Source organism: Homo sapiens, chromosome 9 (assembly GCF_000001405.40).
Source record: "Homo sapiens chromosome 9, GRCh38.p14 Primary Assembly".
Lineage (NCBI taxonomy): Eukaryota > Metazoa > Chordata > Mammalia > Primates > Hominidae > Homo > Homo sapiens.
Window position 1 is genome coordinate 72920307 of NC_000009.12, and position 20599 is coordinate 72940905.

Below are 20599 nucleotides of genomic sequence, written 5' to 3' on the forward strand. Positions count from 1 at the left end.
TTGCACTAGGGAAATCCTGTCTGAAATTTCTCTTATATGCCATTCTATAACACACTTCTTATGACCACTTTCAGAAACTGAATTTTCATTTAAGATGTTAAGGAGTTTTTAATTTTGTAGATAAAAAATTTACTTACCTGTCACCCTTTGATTTCTCTAAATTCTTTCTGAATTTTTTTTATTTGTTTAATTTAGGTTTACGGAAGTAACTCCATTAAAGTAGATAACTTTTGCCTTGGAGAAGGTAATAAAATCAAATATATTTTTGTAAAAGCTACAAACGTCAAAAGAACTAGGATGAAGAATGGTTAGAAGTATGAATGAGAAAGAAAGTCTACACTTTTGCTTAGCACAAGTTTAGATGGCAAATAAAAGGCTTGAGTTTTCCCAAAAGTCTAGCTAAAGTCAAAACAAAGAGACATTAATTTTTGTCTCATGATTTCATTCCCTTATTTGGAGAAAAGTAAACGTTTATCATTTTTCTCAAAGGAGTATGCAATGAAGAAAAGATAAGAACTATTAAGACTATGGCTAAACAGTGTATTCCATGATACTGTGGCATTGCCATGTGGAGCAGAAGTAGCAAATGCCCATGAAAATGGTCTAGCTTATTATGTCTTGCATAATGTGGGTAGAGTTCTATTTTATATGAATCTAATGGGATATTGCGGTGGCTCACGCCTGTAATCCCAGCACTCTGGGAGGCTGAGGCGGGCAGATCATGAGGTCAAGAGATCGAGACCATCCTGGCTAACACGGTGAAACCCCAACTCTACTAAAAGTACAAAAAATTAGCTGGGCGTGGTGGTGGGCGCCTGTAGTCCCAGCTACTCGGGAGGCTGAGGCAGGAGAATGGCATGAACCACGGAGGTGGAGCTTGAGCCAAGATCACGCCACTGCACTCCAGCCTGGGTGACAGTGCACGACTCCTCTCAAAAAAAAAAAAAAAAAAAAATTCTTACCTTGCCTAAAGTGTTGTTAGAATGGAGGGTCTTTGCTACAATGAACACAAAGGATACAGTCTATTGTTTGCCTCTTTCATGACATTTATCAAGTTCCTTAATATCTGCCAAGCAACAAATGTGAAGCTAAAAGAAAATCCAGAAAGAAGTTCCAGGGAGTATGGAACTAAGTTTCAGGAGTTGAAAGTAGGATGGGTTTTGTGGCTCCTAAAATCGTGTTATTCACATTTAATTCTTTTTTTTTTTTTTTTTCATTTTTTTTTTTTTAATTATACTCTAAGTTTTAGGGTACATGTGCACATTGTGCAGGTTAGTTACATATGTATACATGTGCCATGCTGGTGCGCTGCACCCACTAATGTGTCATCTAGCATTAGGTATATCTCCCAATGCTATCCCTCCCCCCTCCCCCGACCCCACCACAGTCCCCAGAGTGTGATATCACATTTAATTCTTTAATACTTATTTAGAATTTCTTACTGTGATGGTTTCTGGAGATAACAATGAATAAGACTGTCTTTGAGGATAATCAGCAAGAGAGAGAGACACATAAGGCAATAGGCATGCACTGTTATTATATGTGGTGGACAATGGGAACTCAGATGGGGTGTTTTAAAATTTAGGCTGCTCTGCTCCTGGGACTGTAGAGGCAAGGAGAAAGCCAGAGAGGGAACGTGTGGGAGCAAGTTTAGAGTAGGTTATGGCCAAGGATGAACTAAAAGCCTGGGGGAATGAAAAGATACATGGAATAATCAGGAAGAGATGGGGCAGAGTGGCAGAGATGGAGAAAAAGAAATATTGGGACAGGAAGCTTTTTTCTCACATTGTGTAAACTAGTGTGCGAAATTAAAAAGTATGGGAGGAAAGAGGAAATATGGCATGTACTGAGCGCTCAGTAGGGTGATAAATGTTTTACTACTCATTAGCTCATTTAATTGTATTCTGTACAACTCAGTAAATTTGATCTCATCTCCATTTTACAAATGAAGAAACTCAAATTTAGTAAGGCTACTTAACTTTTTAAAGACACACTGCTAGGAGGGGTAGAGTCAGAATTTAAACCAAGATATTTTCTAGACTTTTAATCTCCAGGGATTTTTTTAAGTAGGTAAAGTGCTCCCCCAATGTTATAGGGGATCATGGATGAGCGAAGACAAACTGATGCTGAAGATGAGATCAGCAAACAGTAGCTCCTGGTCCAGATGACCTGGAGAAGGAGTAGGCATAGGATCTAGACCAGGGTTGTTCAATCTTTTGGCTTCCCTGGGCTACATGGGAAGAAGAATTGTCTTGGGCCACACAAAAAATACACTAACAGTAAAGATAGCTGATGAGAATGAAAAAAAAATGTGTCGGGCTACATTCAAAGCCATCCCTGGCCATGGGTTGGACAGACCTCAACAGGCACATGGATTCCCTATTGGGGAGGGTCTAGAATTCTAGGCTGAGGAATTTTCACCTTTATTCCTCTGGTATGATTTCAACCTGTGGTGTCACCATTTTTAAATGTATTGCCATATCTTGAACATTCCCACTTGTTCTGTCTACAATAAATCTTGACTGTGGGGTTTGCTTTTCCCTATCTCAATTAGGGAGTTGCAGAATGCAAACTTTTTTTACTCTACGTCTGTGAAAAACAAAGAAGACATATATATATTTATTTACTTCATTTTAAAAAGACCAAGAAAAATAAAGTTTGATTTTCCACCATTTCTTTTTGCTATGTAAATTTGCCTTTATTCTGGAGTAAATAATTAAGATTATAAAATAATCAAATTATGCTCACCACACTATCTGGAATGTCTTTTTTGCTTCTCAACTTCCAGGAAGTTAAAAAAGTAACAATTCCTCAAAACCCAGAGCTAGTTCTAGTACCCATTTGGACATCATCATTCCTTCTTGTGAACCTTTTTTACAGCATTTTGTACATGCCTTAGTACCTTATCACACCCTGCCTGGTCTCTTGTTGTCAGCAGCTTTCTAAGATGGAGTGAAGCTCACTCTTCACTGTCTATACTGTGTACCAATGAATAACATTTTTGCACTGAGCATCTAACAAAGTCACGTAATTTAATAGAATGACTCAATAATTTTTTTTGCATGGTACAGTATGCTTCCACCACTTTCTTTTGCTTAGGATAGAACATCATCAATAAATGGGGATCTATTTTCCCAAACTTCACCTTCTAGTCTGCTCTCCCTCCTGCCCGCCACTTCTCCTTTGTGGTTGGGGTCTTTTTCTTTAACCTTTAGGATGGTCAAGTTCAAGCCAGAGAGGCAGAAAAGTTAGTCTAGGTACCACTGAGGGAAGCTGAGTTTCTGGCTCTCTTTCACAGTGTCCAGGAGAAAGACAACCCCAAATAAGGTGCAAAGGGTGAGACTCTACTATTTAATTTTCATAACCTATAGGATAAAATCATATTCATTCATACAAATCACTATGGCCTAATTTTCTATTATAAATCTTCCTAATAATATGACAAGGTCTCAGCAGCCATATTTCTCGTCAGAGAAAGTAATGAACATACTAAAAATAGTTTACTCTCATTCTGATTTAAAATAGGTGCATCATGTCATTCAAACTACATCTGCTTATATTCTATCCATATGTTTGAAGGCTAAAATAAGTAACAAATCATTAAAAAGAGTTTTTGTTTTAAAATTGTTGGCTCAAAAATAGTTACATAAAACATACTTCATAGCTGGCAATGCAGACATTCTTAACTTTTGCCCTGAGTAAATAATATTACCTCTGTTGATCCTGTGAAGGCTACTTTGTCTATATCCATGTGAGAAGAAATGGCTGCCCCTGCTGTAGGCCCATAACCAGGAACAATATTCACTACTCCAGGAGGAAACCCTGCCTAAAAGATAAAAAGTTTAAAAGTTACAGTATAAGAATTTAATTCAAAAAGGAGGAGAGTAGGGGATTGAGATTGTCTCTTAATGCCAACCTTATGAGATGCTCTAGAAAAAAATAATTCACCCAACTGGCTCTATTCTTTAGTCTTATTATGTCATTTCTAAGCACACATAAGAGAATAACTTCAAGGGTTGCATTATTAAAGGACAATTTCTTGTCAGGGTAAGTCCATACTCTATGAATCATTGCTCCAGTGATGGCTCTTTCAAATTTCATAATGCTAACTCAAAAAGATTGTATGTAAAAAAGTGTTTGGTAAGTTACTTATGTAGAAAGTAAGTAACATGTTTATTATTCCCATCAGCAAAAATAAGAAGCTGAAGGGATCTAACATTTTTTAGTTCCTAGCTGTTGTTGATTGTTGAGGGCATAACTGCTGAGTTGCAAATTCCCATTGGCATTACTTAGTAAATTGTTAAGTAAATACTGTCATCCCATTCATGATTCAACATCACAGGTTGATTTCAATCTTCATTAAAGAATTCAGGTGAAGGCATGGGAACTGAGTTGGGCACATTACAATTTCATGTTATTTGCATCGAAATGTTTCATTTTGACATCTCTTTTCCCTGTTTTTAATTTCAATAAATAATATCTTTAAAAGATAAGTTCAGTTTTGTAACTTTAAGTTTCTAGTGATTAACATTTATTTTTTAAGATTTGGTAAGATGAAGAAAAAAGGACAATGAATTGTTTGCAAGTATATTAACACAATCTAGATAGCTGATGAAAATGTTTTACATGTTCTTTTACTGTTTTTGAACAGGAAGATAAATGCAGAGGAACTCATAATAGAAAACTGAATATAAACATATCCACTCATGAGTAGATTGAAAAGTGTTTGGAAATAATGTGGCCCAATATTACAAACAAGCATATTGGCATAGAGGCCCTTTCAACCTTACATAGATTAGTTTACACAATTTTGCAGAAAACACTAGGCCATCAGTGGCAGGTACAAACCAACTTAATGTTTCAACATTTGAAAGAATGCTACATTAATTTCAACATGAATTTATGTTCATGAGAGTTGGACAAAGAAGCAAAAATGTGATCCCAAGTTGACTGTTTGACACCAAACCTTTGTGTTTGGCTTCCTGTCTGCATTTGGGCAGAGATGAATTTGGGGTGACTGCCAGAAATTGCAGCCAGCCGTCATGCTAAATGTATTCCCCCCACTGGACAGGAGCCATCTGTAAATAATGTACTTTATAGTAGCAACAAATGAGGTCTTCCTATTGTAATTTAGGATTCTTGAGTTCTTGAGCATATTTTGATTTCGGGAGACTTACCTCTTTTATTAAAGATGCCACGTGGAGAGCAGTGAGAGGAGTTTGCTCTGCTGGTTTGACAACCACTGTGTTTCCACAGCTCAGTGCAGGCCCTATCTTCCAAATGAGCATAACCAACGGGAAATTCCACTAGAAAGCAATATGTAACAATAGATTCTTTGTATTGCAAAAGGCATATTTGCTAATCCAACTTCCATATTATACACCCCCTGTAGATGTTATGTAATAATTGCGTAGTTTTGTGAAATCATCTGGCATATTATACTTCATTGCTAAAAGCAACTAGTAAATGCTAAAACGCTCTGAATAAACCAGATATGAGATATGAGAAGGAAATAGGAGAGAACCTCAAAATTTAATCAAGTACTGTTGAGTTCTTTTTCTACCAGGAAAAAAAAAATCACTGCATGGTTTGGCTTATTATGGAGCACACTGTAAGTTATCTAAAAATGTTTAAAAAGGATGATTACTCTCCTTCTCCATAAGTCATTTATTGTAATTATTTACCCAATAATATTATTTAGTAGCTTTTATTTCCAGGAAAAATACCTTGCTAAAGACAAAGATGTCCAGGGTCCAGAGGCCAAGTACTTGGGTTCAAATCTCAGCTCAATCACTGACCAGCCATGTGAACTCACACAGGTTACGTGCTCTCTGTATCTGATTTCATAATCTGTGAGTGCTGATAATAGTCCTCTCTGCCTCAGAAGGCTGTCTTGAGCATTAACCAAGAAAGAGGGCCAGGGGCTCAACACAATGACTGGTCTAGCATAGACAAGTAGTACATATCAGCTATTATCAGTGTTCATAATTATATAGTTTTTATCGATTTATTGGGACTTTTGAATTAATAAGCAATTTCACTAAAATATTGATATGAATATATTTCAATCTCATTGGAGCCAAAGATAAGTCTTGACCATTTCTTCACATAAGGACTTCGCTACCATTTTTTTGTTTGGCCTTTTAAAGCATGTCAGTTAAAATAAAATCATTTAGATAGTGTCCTGTTTGTTGGGCTTAAAAAATCTTCACAATCCTCTTAAAAAGGCTACTTTCCTCTAAGAGTAATATGGAGGATCTGAGCCTCTTATCTAAAGGTAAAATATATTCCATGCAGTGCTTCAAATGCCTCTGGTATTCTTTTTTCCATTTTGATTAAAAAATGTGTGTCATGAGTTGAACACTCTGGGAGCTACTGTTCTGCATGATGAGATGTCTCAATGAGAAAGTGCGTTGGAGAATAGTAGGCCCCACTACATTCCACCAAAATGCTATCCTGCAGATGTGCAGTGGAGAGCACCTTGCCATATACATGTAAAGCTTGGCTCTTATAAAGAGTACATAATACAACTTTTAATAAAACAACCCATAGAGTAAAGGGTTAACATTTATGGATGATGTAGTATTAAAACATTCTCAAGAGATATGCCAGAATATAGATAGGTTTTCGGACTACCTAATTCATATGCAAGAAGTTTAGTCACAGGGAGACCAAGTTCAACAAATCTTACATTTACTCCACATTTAACAAATACATAAGCATCCATCTGTTTTAGAGAAAGCTTCATCATTAGATAGAATAAGAACTCTTCTTTTTAAAATTGAGAATTATATAGGAGAAAAGCTTACAGGAATGATTTGGCCACATACACCAATAGGTTCATGTCTTGTATATGTAAAAAAATTTCCATCTGAAAAATAAAACACACACAATCATATATAAACAAATGTATTTGACATTCACAAAATGGTGGTTGGTGATGTGAGAGAAAGGTGTAGACAATAATTTTAAAAACATATATCTGGCCAGGTGTGGTGGCTCACGCCTGTAATCCCAGCACTTTGGGAGGCCGAGGCAGGCAGATCACGAGGTCAAGAGATCGAGACCATCTATATCTCCAACTATTCCCAAAATGGTAAGTGAAGCCCTAAAATAGTAATTCGAAATGATAGGAACCATAAAATTGAGTTAGGTGAAATCAAAGAGGCAAAATTGGCAAAAATCTGAAAGATAATTAATTCCACCTTTCATCTTCTAGGAGGCCTGATTTGAAAATTATCTTTATTCTCTAAGTGTTATAAAAAAGGGACGAGAAAGGAAGTAGGAGGTCTCTGGCGAAGAGAAGAACCACATTCCAATTTGTTTCTGGTAGCTCAAAGTTCTACCAATAAGAGAATTCTTTTTAAAAGTTATAATATAATTTTTAGAAATAGTAAAATTAAAAACAGTAGAATTAAAAAGAAAATCTCCCTATGAGTAATAAGCCTTTCCTACTGACTTGTTCTAAAATGTATTTTATTTGCCTACCAAACAATAATAGCAAATTCTCTAAATACATGAAGAAAATGACAGGAGTATAAGACATTTATTTTCAATCTAAATTTGACCAATTTATGTGCCCCGAAGTTTAATGTGGTCATCCAGAGAGATACATTATGCTTTACATTCAATTCTGTTCTAGTTCCCACAGAAGCTTCCTGGTTTCAGCAAGGACTCTCTTCATCAAGATCTATTTGTGTTTTAAGTGACTTCTCCCATTTTGTCCCGGAGTAAAGTAGGACAGTTCTAAAGTAGCCACATTTCTTAGTACCACCGAGGTCTTACTCTCCTCTCAACTTTCTGCTATCACTTCTGACCTCCTGCATGCTCCAATTGGATTGGAAGTGCACATCAGGGCCAGTCCTGGAGGGTATTGTATTCCTAAAGTTCATAGGTTTGCCTGAATTAAATTCCACCCATACTGTTTCCTAAATGTGTGTGTTTTCATGTTTCACATGAAATATCTTTAGTATTTCTACTCCATTATGTGCATACCCCACTAAAATAACACATACGTACAGATTCACACACACAAACCCTTAACTTAGGCTGCAAACACAGTCCCATCTTGCTTTGAAGATATTTGAAACGAGTCCGTGTGAACTGGCTTGTTTGATTAGTCTGGTCTAACTACACTGAGTTTGACCAGGCACAGATGACCATAACTGACTTATACTGGAACATGTAAAGAGGCTTAAATAATTACATTACAGAAAGGATATAAATGTCAGTATTGGAATAAAACCCAAATAAATAATTTCAGAGGTCAGCTTTAAAAAGTTTGGGACCTTAGAGAGGCAATTGCCTCAGATCAGTAATTACTGCCAAAGGAATGTTCTTACTTTGACATTTTCTAAAATATCTATAATGTTATCTTCATGATTATGCTGAAACAACTTTAAAAGACCTTTTATGAATTTTAATAGAACTTCTAAGTTGAAAACTGTGTTGTCTCAAAGTCAAGAGGAAAATAATTTTGCCTTATTTGGTTGACATCTTTAAAAGGGAGAGTTTGAAATTATTCAGCTCTATAGTAAACTCCTCGCTCCTATCCTCACCATTAGTGGTTTCTCAAAGATACTTACCAATTGGTATTGTACGGCCCTGGATCTTGTCAGCCCAACCTGCACAGTAGCGCAATGTTTTGATGCAGCCTGCTAAATCATTCAGATATGCATTGGAATAGAGTTTTCCACCATTCATTGACTCCATTGTCTGAAAAACATGTCAAACACCAAATCTAAAATTCCATAAGTTTTAGATTAAAAATATGTAGTAAATATTTTCAGCAATCATGTGCTAGGGAATTTTTGAAATAGAAGAAATCTTGTCATCTTGTCTAACCTCCACTTTTTAAGAGTTAAAATGACTTCCTTTAGGTCAAATAGCAAGATCTGGGCACAAAGGGTAGTGAGATTCTGATTTCTAAACCCCAGTGCTCTTTCTATCTCATTTTGATGTTCTCCTGCTAACCAGCTTTCTAGGAATCGGTCACAATTTGATATACACATAACATCTGAGAATGAAACCTAGTCTTCTAAGTCCTATCAGAATTCCAACAAGGTTTCTCTTATTTTGTAATCAACTGTGGGTGACAACTTAGTGTCAGTGACTATTAATGATGGCTCAGTAATCATTTTTAATTTTTACATTCCATCTGGATATACACAGTCTACTCACACAAACTTAAGTAATGCCTGGATTTTTCATCCATGAATTTCCTTCAGCAGAATTTTAATTAGGAAACTACCAGTGTTGCCATTATTGTCATAATTGCCGTTTTAATGGTCAGGTAAAGTTAAACATTTTCTAGTCATGTGCCCTAACCATTATAAGATGACCTATCTCCCCTTTGGCTTCTCTTCTTAAGCAGGACCTTAAGCTCTTTGAGATCTAATATTCTGCTGGGGTGGTTACCTGGCAGAAATGCACAGGTGATGAACTGTTAAAGCTATTTGTTTCTGTACTACACTCTCTATCATGTCAAAATTTAACCAAATGTGACTTTTGTATGCCTGTACTTTTCTCTCTATAGGATCTTATGCTGACAGGCAGTCAACAAATCAGATAATTGAGAAAAGCCAAGTTTTAGCATTTTCTGCTTTCTTCCTACAGGTCATTTTTATTACTATAGTTTTATTGCACATAGCTGCTCGTTCTGAATTTTTGTGTATTTCAAATTATGTTGAATATTTGAGTAATAAATGGTCCTTTGATTAACCATACTTGCTATTAACCATACATGCTAATGTTGATTTTTTAAAAATGTAGACTTCTTTGTTACTGCCACTTTCAGATTCTAAAGATGAAATTTGCTTGAAACCTGATCTTGGTATTTGTTTATGTTAAATTGGCTTCATCATAATGCCCAATTGAGACAACAGAAACAAGGAAATACCCTCCCCCAACTATATTATGCTCTGACTCATCTAACTGCTAAAACATAAACAAACAAAAATAGTATTCATAAAAACATGATTTTGATAAACCACATTAATAATTGGATTTTTTTTATTTTTTGCCTCTTTCATCTGTAAAAAGAACATCATTTAATTATGACCCTTGTGAACAGACACATTTCAGGAAGAAAAAAAGTAGCCATTTATTAAATATCTTAGCGAGCTAGACTAATGAGAAATAAGATTTATTTTAGAGAAATATTTTGGGCACCCTTAACAAACTTGAGTTTTTCCATCAAAAGAGCTCAGTGGTCAAATGCTTGAATAAACCTAATATATCATTCTAGGAGACTCAAACTTCATGTGATCTTATTGAAACCTCTGAGAAGTTTTAAGGTAAAGAAATTTCTAAAATTTGGTTTAACTTGGGTTTGCTAAAGTTTAGACCGTAGAATCTATTATGGGAGCAGAAATTAACATCATCCAGAATTGAAATGCAGATTACTATTTGAGAATAGTTCAATGTTAAGGGGCCTATTCATTGGGACAAAAAATGTTTTCATTTTGTTTGTAGAGAGCATATAGTGATCCCTAAAATCAAAACAACTTGCCATTTCAAACGCTGAATGCTTTTGAGAGCTCTAGCTACCCATCCAGCTTGGATAATACTCACCGCCAGCAGCAGACGATCTCTTTCGATTAAATCAGCCAACTTGTATAATAGTCGCCCCCTCTCGGAAGCATCCATAGTACGCCACGGGGATCCAATCTGAAAAGCCTGTCTTGCGGCCTTCACTGCCTTGTCAACATCCTCCTGTAAGTCAACAGGAATTCAATTCAGTAAGCTAAACATATTAGGCAAGCAAATTTAATGCCAATAACCCTGTAAAATAGACTGTAGTGCCTCATAAGCAGGCACTGTGTCTCCATTATCCCAAAGTCTAACACATTGCGCACATTCAACTACTGTATGTTGGAATTACTCCTGCTGAATAATCTTTACATGATGAGCTCCACGTACCTAGCACATGCTGGATTTCCTAGAATATAAGTGTTTTATGATTTTAATAGTTGCTATCATCTGAGTGCTTGCCCTGTTTCAAGTAATGTTCTGATGACTTTATACCTATTAGCTCATTTAATTCTCATTAATTTTATGGCACAAATATGTTCCCTGTTTTACAGATGAAGAAACTAAAGCAAAGAGAGACGGGAGCTTTGCTCAAGGTTAATAACTAAAAGTGGCTGAACTGAGTTTTAAAGGGAGCCCATCTGATTGTAGAATCTTTGCTGTTTACCACACATTATACTTTCTTAGTGACTGGGTTACAGGAATTCCAGGTCAAGCTCAAGATCCAAAATAATGAATATCTTCCTTGGTCTCTGGTGACTCAACAGCCTGTCCACTTTCATGAAGAGCCTATTGAAGGGTGAATAAGAACTTTGCTTTGCTGTTGAAGAATAAACCTTAGAAACATGTGCTCATTCCTCTTGTGCAGAGGGAACAGGGCATGGAAATAGTGGAACTAATAGAGTAGGATGTGCATGTGACAACCTCTCATTTCCCAACTGGGTACAAAGAGATCCTTTTAAATCCCTAATCCGATAAAGAAGTCAGTTTCTTATTAAAGATGCATGGCTTAAAACTACATTAATTCAAGTAAAAGTCAAAGAGTAAAGTGACTCCACATTCAGTGTAGCCTCCTGTCCTTCACTCTCATAGTGCCTTCACTCAATTTCTTTCTCTGTTGTGTTTTTCTACACCAGATATATTCTCTGGTTCTTTTGCAATTCACCTCAGTTACAAATATTGCCCTGACCACTCCACTCCCCTGCAGATCCCTGTTCAGACCTCTTCTGAGCTCTTACAGAACATACCTACTACTACTGCAAACACCATAAAGGAATATATCATTCCAGTGTTCTTTTGTACATAGAACTGGCCACTACATGGAATTGTATAGCTCCACAAATAGTGGCTATATCACAGGCCAGTAGGTTGCAATATTTTGCAGGAGACACAATTCCCTTTAAGAATTGGGGGAGAGAAAAAGTAATGACCCTAGATTTTTTTAAAAAATTGTACACAATTAAGCTAAATCCCATCTAAGGAGATATCTTCCCCTCAAATGGACCTCAAATTAACATCCTCCTCCTTAGGCTATATTCAATCAAGAAGACCCACACTTACAAGTCTGTGAATTAAAATACAAAAAAACTATTCTTCTAGTATTTATCACCAAAATAATATGATCTGGGGCAAGAGAGATATTTTAGAAGCACAATCTGGTCTGATTAAGTAATAATATTTACTGACTACAAGCAAAGATTCTTTCAGTGTAATACATCACACACTGATATATCTCACTGTCTAACTTTTCAGAGAATGATGATATATACAAAATATATGTATTTATTGCCTGCCTTTCCTGAGAAATACATATACAGTGCATATTTGCGGCATTCAGTTAATCACATTGATTGCTTATATTTAGACATTGTTTCATGCCACACGTTCTAACTTTTTCCTAAATTTACAGAGCACTGTTTGAAAAAAAGAAAAAGCAAACCACAAAAATCTGAGATTGTCAGCATGATCTGTGGATACCAGAGCTTATAAAATACATGCTGGTCTGTGTTTAAACAGATCTGTATGACACAGCTTTCATTTGGATCTTTCTGTTCAGTGTCCTGCTATTGGTCTTAGCCAAATATGGGCTATCATAGGGATCTTGGCCTCCCAAAGGGATACGGAGAACTGGCTTCAAGATAAGTAACTCTCCCATATGGAAAGCACATCCCTAAAGAATGCTGCTATAAATAAAGATGTTCTTATGATTATGTCCTTTGGATCATGCGCCCCCTTTTCTCACATCTTATATGTAATCTTGCAGATGCAGAAATACAGTAATGTTAGTTAATATATAGTTTGATATGAAAACAACCCAGATTTGAATTCTGATTCCTCTTCATTAGCTGTGTAAACCTTGAGGCATCTAACCATTCATCCCTCTAGCTAAAGGTTTGATAAATATTCGACTCTGCAGCATTCTCATCATCCCTCCGCTAAAGACAGCAGAGTGAAGTAAGAAGATTGTCCTTTTGGAATATTCAATCAAATGGGAGAGACATACAATCAAATCACTATCCCAAAACATTATTATAAACCATGAAATATGTTGTGGCATGACTTCTCTAAGGTTCAGCTTTCTTTTCTTTAAAATCAAGGTATGTTGCTTGGTGTGGTGGCGTGTGCCTGTAGTCCCAGCTACCCAGGAGGCTGAAGTGGGAGGATCGTTTGAACCTGAGAGGTGCAGGTTGCAGTGAGCTGAGATTGCACCACTGCACTCCAGCCTGGGTGATAGAGTAAGACCCTCATCTCAAAACAAAAAAAAAAAAAAAAAAAAAGAAAAAGCAAGACAAAAGAAAAAAGAAATTGGGGTATGTTACCTCACAGGGTTGTAATGAAGATTAATAAGATAACATTTAAACATTTTCTATGTTAGAACATTATGTATTATTCAATGGTGGCAATTGTTACTGTTGTCCTAGCAGTTAAAACTTTAAATTTTAATATAACTCTCAGCAATTTCTCCCTCTCTCAATAGAGGGAGATTCACTCTGTTGCCTAGGCTGGTGTGCAGTGGCACAAACATGGCTCACCAAAGCCTAGACCTCCTGACGAGCCTCAGGTGATCCTCCCACCTCAGCCTCTGGAGTAGCTGGGACTACAGGAGTGCATCACCATGCCCATCTAATTGTTTATTTTTAGTAAAGATGAGGTCTTGCTATGTTGTCCAGGCTGGTCTCAAACCCCTGGGCTCAAGTGATCCTCTCACCTTGACCTTCCGAAGTGCTATGATTGCAGGCATGAGCCACCGTCTGCCTAATTTTTTTGTAGAGATGGGGTTTTGCCATGTTGTCAAAGCTGGTCTAAAATTCCTGGGTTCAAGCAACCTGGCTGCCTTTGCCTTCCAACGTGGTGGGATTACAGGCACACAGGGATTATAGGTGTGTATTGCTGCACCTAGCAAGTTCTAATGTATTTTAATCCTTCCTTTCAGTTTTCACTGCTCTGAACAATTTTAGGCCCTATTATTTCATATTGTCAATGCTGTCTCAAGTTCATTCTCTTCTCTCCTCAAACTATCTTGGCTACTATCACCAGGCTAATCTTCTGCAAATAATTTTATCTTATCACTTTGTCTTTCAAATGTTTACACCTGTTCCCTTTCATCTACAATCTCAAGGTCAAAGTCCTCCCTGGTTTTCAAGGCCCAGGATTTTCAGACCACATCTCACCTATCCAAACTTAGTGTTTACATTTTTTCTACTCTATCTGACCCAACTCCTTCTTACTTTTGTGTCTGTAGTTCTCCTTGCCTAGAATATTATACCAGTATACTCCCTTACTTTCTAAATCCTATATATACTTTAAGACCCAGCTCAAATATCAATCTACCTAAAACCTTGCCAGACTAGTCCAGCTTGATGATGGCTACTAGCTAAGAGCCTACTAAGCTCCAGGCACTAAGGAAAGTTCTTTAAAGCCCCATAGTTACTATTACTATTAAGTATCATGAGCCTTGGTTTATAAATGAATAGACTATGGCTCATGGATATGAAATCTAGCAGACAGTAGAATCAACCTTTGATCCCACATCTGACTACAAAATCTAGTTCTTACATCTCTGTAAGGCTGCCCTAATAATGACCTCCTTTGCAACAAATATATACTGCTATTTGTTTTGTAAACTGTAATATTTCTTACAATTCTGGGTCTACAATGGGCAATAAATAAATTTTGAATAATTTGGTTACCTGTTTTATAAACTCATCATGTTGTACTGATTTTATATAAGGGGTGCCTTACATAATTAATTTAACTACATTGGCATTTACATAATAAATCATATTTTAATAGATTCCATGATACAACAAAACTTATACATTATTCAAAAACTGTTAGACATAACAGTTATTGTTTTCTTAATTCCAGGACTAGCATTTTTTAAATTTTTATTTCAGAACTGGAATTTTCAGGGATATAATTTTTTAATTAAACAGAAAACAATTTGGTACATTAACTCAGATTTGCCACCATCAATAACAATTTTGCTTATAGCACTGAAAATGCTCCTTTTTTTGAAGTAAGGGCCACAAGCTGAATGTAAAAAGACAGTTCAAATGATGATGAGATATCAAATGCCTCCTAAAGCACAGTTAAGGAAGGACTGAACTCTTCCATCACTCCCAGATGGTACATTTCCATATTAAATTCATTCAGAGATGGAGAAAATAGTTATCAGACCAGTTTTACTTTTACACATGTCAAAGGCACTTACTTTAACGGACATTTACTTTTATCCCCACCAATTATTTGTTAGGTCATGCCTTAGTATTAAAAGCAGTTTTCAGGATTAGTCAATATAGCCTAAAAGAACCACTGAAGTGAAAAGAAAACAGTTCCCACCCACATCTGTACTTTGCTTTGTAACCTCCATTTGTTCTTGCCCTTCCTCTTTTCTTTATAATACCGTTGAAAGGCGGTATGTAGCCCATTGTTAGCCCCATTCTACTTACAAATTAAATCCCTAAAACCTCTTGGCTCATTATCTACAGAGTCAGATACAGCATATTAGGTTTACTGTGACTATGTAATTTACTAGATTTGTACCTTTCACTAAGCAATGTCGGAGTTTACTATACATTTGTCGGCAAAATTGTGGGAAGAGCAATAATTATTTAAAAATATGTTTTAAAATAATTCAAAAAAGAATGTGATGATAAGAGTGCTAGATGTTCAAACTGGTTTACCATGAACAGTTTATACCATCAACATTTTAGTTTTAGTAACCAGTTGACCAGCCAACTCAGTTGGCATTGTGACCTGATTTGAAGCTTGGGTAGATGTTAATGAGCATCCTTGATCTCTTGGGTAAGCAATAGTAATTGTCAAGAAGCACAGAGCAAATCAGTGGCAAACATTTCTAAGTCTTCCAGTATGATCATTAGCTTTCCCTTACTATACTTTAGGAAGGAGGTAAATCCCACAAACTTCACTAAGAAAAGTCCTCAGACTGCCTGACAAGGTTTCAACTGGAACTTTGGGCATAGAGATTTGTTTTCCTAATAAAATTAATCCCAGTGGCAAAGGTCGATGTTCAAGGCTCCAGAACTAAAACATCAATAATATTTTTCTGTTTGTTAGTTGCAAACTGCAAACAGATCTGGCCTTCCTCTTGAATGGAGAGAGAAAGTATGTAGCTCTCAAGGGCTCACTCTGTCCTTGCCCTTTATTGCTTTTCTCACCTTCCCAGGCCTGCTAGAGCCACTCAAGCAACTAGAGGAACATTTGAGGTGGTGGTGTGTGGATCTCCTGAAGTCTCTGATAAAAGGCGTTCATTCTTCTTTGAAAGGTGAAGAATAAATTTCTCTCTTATTTCTGGGAATGGCTTATAGGGCACAGGCTTCTGGGGCTCCTATAGACCTTGCCAGGGATGATCAGTATTTCTATGCCCAATTTTGGTTTGGTAGCATTTCAGAGAGGTGCAGAGTGATCACCACAGTACAGTTTTCAATCACTAACTTTCTTAGGTGTCAAAACTCTTTGACCCCTGTTAAATGTTAACGCTTGAGAGGAGATACAACTTAACAGCTTAACACTTTAGTTCGGTGGTTCAAGATGCATTCCCTCACCTCCTTCCCAACCAACAACATCAGCATTACCAAAGAATTGATAAAAAATGAAAATTTTCAGGTCCCATTCTAAGATTATTGCAGTGAAACCTAGGGGAAGGTGGGGCTCAGCTATCTGTGTTTTAACAAGCCTTCCTGGACATTCTGAGACAGGCTAAATTTTGAGAATGTCTGCCATAGCCAATAGTCAGGTTAGTACTAAATTCCTAAGGTGAGGAATGTGGAATGTATGGAAATTCAACACTTGATGAAAAAGAAGACTACTTCATAGATTTATAGAATATACTATATCTATAGTATAGTATATCTATCGAATATAGTATAGCATACTTATAGGATATACTATATCCAGAAACCAAGGATATAAATGAGAGATGCAGTGTTGATCTCTGCAAGAAGCATATTGTCTCAGACAAATTAACCTATAGCTGTATAATACAAAGGTTATAATACAGGCAAATACAATGTCCTATAACCACACAGAAGAGAGTAAGTCTGCTTGAGAAGGTTAGAGAAGGCTTTAAATAAGTATAAAACCCGGGCATGACTGAAGGTTTAGGATATGCCTGGCACCGTTGAAGAGCTCTATATATTTAACTCCTCAAGCATTTTCTATCTCCTCATTTTACATGAAAAAGAACAGAATCTCAAAGAAGGTTAAGTACAAACATTGAAAATCTACGCTCTTACTATAGATGGTGACTTGAACTAGGTCCTGAGGACTACACTGTGGACATGTACAGAGGCAGTGACTAGCAAGCAATTGTTGGGGATGGACACTGGGCATGACGAAGTTGAAAGTCTTAAGTTAATGCGGTGGCCTGGGAAAGAGGCCATAAACAAAGGTTGAGTAATATTATAAAGGACCTTTGTTTGTGCACTTTTTCCCACAGACAGTGAGAAGCAGAATGGAGAATTTATGCTTTGGTGAACTCTTCAGTATAAAGAGTAAATCTGAATCTGAAAGCCAGTGACATTTGTCATCATTTTATTTTGTTTCTACTTCTCAAATTGTTAACCCCTATGGTTGAACTCCGTACTCCTGTGGCTTGAGACTTCGGTCTTACTTGTTTTCATCATACTGAAATCTGAACCAAGGGCCTCTCCTAAATCTAAAAGGGCCCCCTCAGGTCTGTCACTATCTTGGAATAAGTATCTGCATGGCCCAGTACGTTGAGATTTGTGATCTCATTTACTGGGGCTAAAGTAATGGAAAAGACTGGGCAGGAGACTGGCAGGAACATGTGATCGCTATAATTAACTAAAACACATTGTCATGAATAATATTATCCTTGGGTGTTGCTGACTTTAATTTCCCAGTAGTCTTTTCCTGCAGCAATAATAATAATAATAAAATAAAATAAAACATTACTTCTTTACAGAAATTTAAAACTTGGCAACCCCTGGGCAACTAAAGAGCAGAAAAATCATTTCAAATTAGACTTAGAAACACTTACGTGTTCAGAAAAATATTCTGAAGTTTTTTACTCTCCTCACCCAGGAGGAGAATAAAAAGTTTATTTAATATTATGCTATCTAATTTTTTATTTTTTATTTTTTGAGACGGAGTTTCGCTCTTGTCACCCAGCTGGACTGCAATGATGCGATCTCGGCTCACTGCAAGCTCTGCCTCCCGGGTTCAAGTGATTCTCCTACCTCAGCCTCCCGAGTAGCTGAAATTACAGGCATGCGCCACCATGCCCAGCTAATTTTTGTATTTTCAGTAGAGACGAGGTTTCACCATGTTGGCCAGAATGGTCTCAATCTCTTGACCTTGTGATCTGCCCGCCTCAGCCTCCCAAAGTGCTGGGATATCTTACTTTCATAATAAGAAAGACTATTTAATTTTTTTTTTTTAATGGAGCTTCACTCTTGTTGCCCAGGCTGGAGTGCAATGGCACTATCTTGGCTCACTGCAACCTCTGACCCCCGGGTTCAAGCAATTATCCTGCGTCAGCCTCCCCAGTAGCTGGGATTACAGGAACCCACCACCATGCCCAGCTAATTTTTGTATTTTTAGTAGAGGTGGGGTTTCACCATGTTGGTCAGGTTGGTCTCAAACTCCTGACCTCAGATCATCTGCCCGCCTCGGCCTCCCAAAGTGCTGGGATTACAGGTGAGAGCCACTGCGCCCGGCCAACCCTATCTTACTTTCATAATAATCACAAAGTGAAGCAGTAGCCCTACTAGGCACAGGTTATAGTGTCAGAGGAACAGCATTTTAATGTTGAGGTTATTACTTATTAGCAATGTCACCTTGAGTAAATTACTCAGCCTTTCTACTCTGCCATCTCATCATTATTTGTAAAAATGACTCAAAATAGTACCTGCCCTATAGGGTTGCTTTAAGTTTTAAATGAAGATAGCATTTAGAACTTGAGAACAATTTTCACTAAATAAAAACTGGTTTTTGTTGTTTCTATTATTAGCTGGAAAATAACAACGCTTGTAATTTGTTAGTCAATTTAAGTTATTCTATAATATAATTTTTACAGGTGTTGAATAATAATATTAATGCAGTGATTTTTAATAAAATAACTTAGTAATATATTGTTCTAAAAGTTCTATAATAACTTTTAGTTTTATCTAGCAACATAAAAAGAACAATTTCATATGAATAAAGCATTTCTCTCCTTTTTCCTTTTCTTTTTTTTTTTGGCTGGAGTGCAGTGGTATGATCTCGGCTCACTGCAACCTCTGCCTCACGGGCTAAAGCAATTCTCCTGCCTCAGCCTCCTGAGTAGCTGGGATTAGAGGCATGTGCCACCATGCCTGGCTAATTTTTGTATTTTTAGTAGAGACGGTGTTTCCCCATGTTGGCCAGGCTGGTCTCGAACTCGTGACCTCAAGTGATCCAACTGCCTTGGTCTCACAAAGTGCTGGGATTACAGGTGTGAGCCACAGCGCCCAGCTGAAGATTTCTCTACTTTATAACCTATGATCAATCCCTTCTTATATAGTCTGTAAAATAAATCTATATACTATTTCAATTGAAAATAAAGGAAAATGATGTGAAAAAAAATCACCATGACACCCAGAAGCACAGGTTTATCATTATTACATAACTACAGAGCATTTTTTTTTTTTTTGGTAACAAGGACAACTTAGACAATTTTCCTAAGCTGCCCCAGAAACCATATTTTCATGGCATGTCTTTTGGAGCTTGCAATGGGGTTCAGGAGCTCAGAATGGCAAAAAACCAAGAAACCTGGCATAAAATGAAACTAGTGTTCAGAAACTCACCTTATCTCCTTCTTCTACCTGGCAGAGCTCCTCCTCAGTTGCAGGATTAAAGACAGGAAATTTCTTGCCACTCACTGAATCATGCCATTCATTGTTTATGAAGATCTGTAGAGATGAAGAGAAAATACATACAAGGCGCTTAAATATGCAGAAAATTTTGGAAGTTTTCATAAACTTAAACTAAAGCATTTCACCATGCCTAAATGATGCACATCTCTTCACCTCTCAAAACTTTCTGGCTGTTTGAGACATTTTGTGTTCACATGCATAGACATGTACTAAAATGAAGTACATAATGCTTTTAAGTTTAAGGTATGCAATCAGTTCAACACTAGAAAATACATACTGGAGAAAACAATCTAGAAAACAATGCTTTTACCTGAAATGGCCATGAATTTGAGGCAAAGCAAAGGCTTTTGTGGGCTTGGTCTTTATTAATGATTGCTTCTATTTTCCACTTTAAATTCTGAACATCCTCATTTTCGGCTACTGGTGATTTGGAATCATAAGAGACTATTTTCTAATCCTTTAATGTTTTAAAGTTAAAAAAAGAATTTTGCTAAAGGATTCTAAAAGGAGTTCACTTAGAGAAAATTAGCTAGTCACATTGTTTCATTGGCTTTTTAAAAGCATATGGTTTTATTCTCCTTTTCAAAAGATTACCTGGTAATTTCGTTGTCTTCAGACAAAATCAGGAACAAGATTTCTTAATGGTAACTATGAGAAATAGACATGCAACTAAAGAAACAGTAAGCACT

The 20599-nt window shown here is 36.7% G+C and overlaps 1 protein-coding gene across 1 annotated transcript in view; it reads right to left on the bottom strand.

Moving 5' to 3' along the window:
- The window catches only part of ALDH1A1 (aldehyde dehydrogenase 1 family member A1), a 52383-nt gene that overhangs the window by 19636 nt on the left and 12148 nt on the right, over nt 1-20599 (bottom strand). Inside the window, exons 2-7 of the mRNA NM_000689.5 lie at nt 19842-19946; nt 10573-10713; nt 8586-8715; nt 6810-6871; nt 5178-5306; nt 3713-3826 (exon numbers count right to left, since the gene is read on the bottom strand). Of these exons, the coding sequence (NP_000680.2) occupies nt 3713-3826; nt 5178-5306; nt 6810-6871; nt 8586-8715; nt 10573-10713; nt 19842-19946 (681 nt within the window). The remainder of the gene's footprint in view (nt 1-3712; nt 3827-5177; nt 5307-6809; nt 6872-8585; nt 8716-10572; nt 10714-19841; nt 19947-20599) is intronic.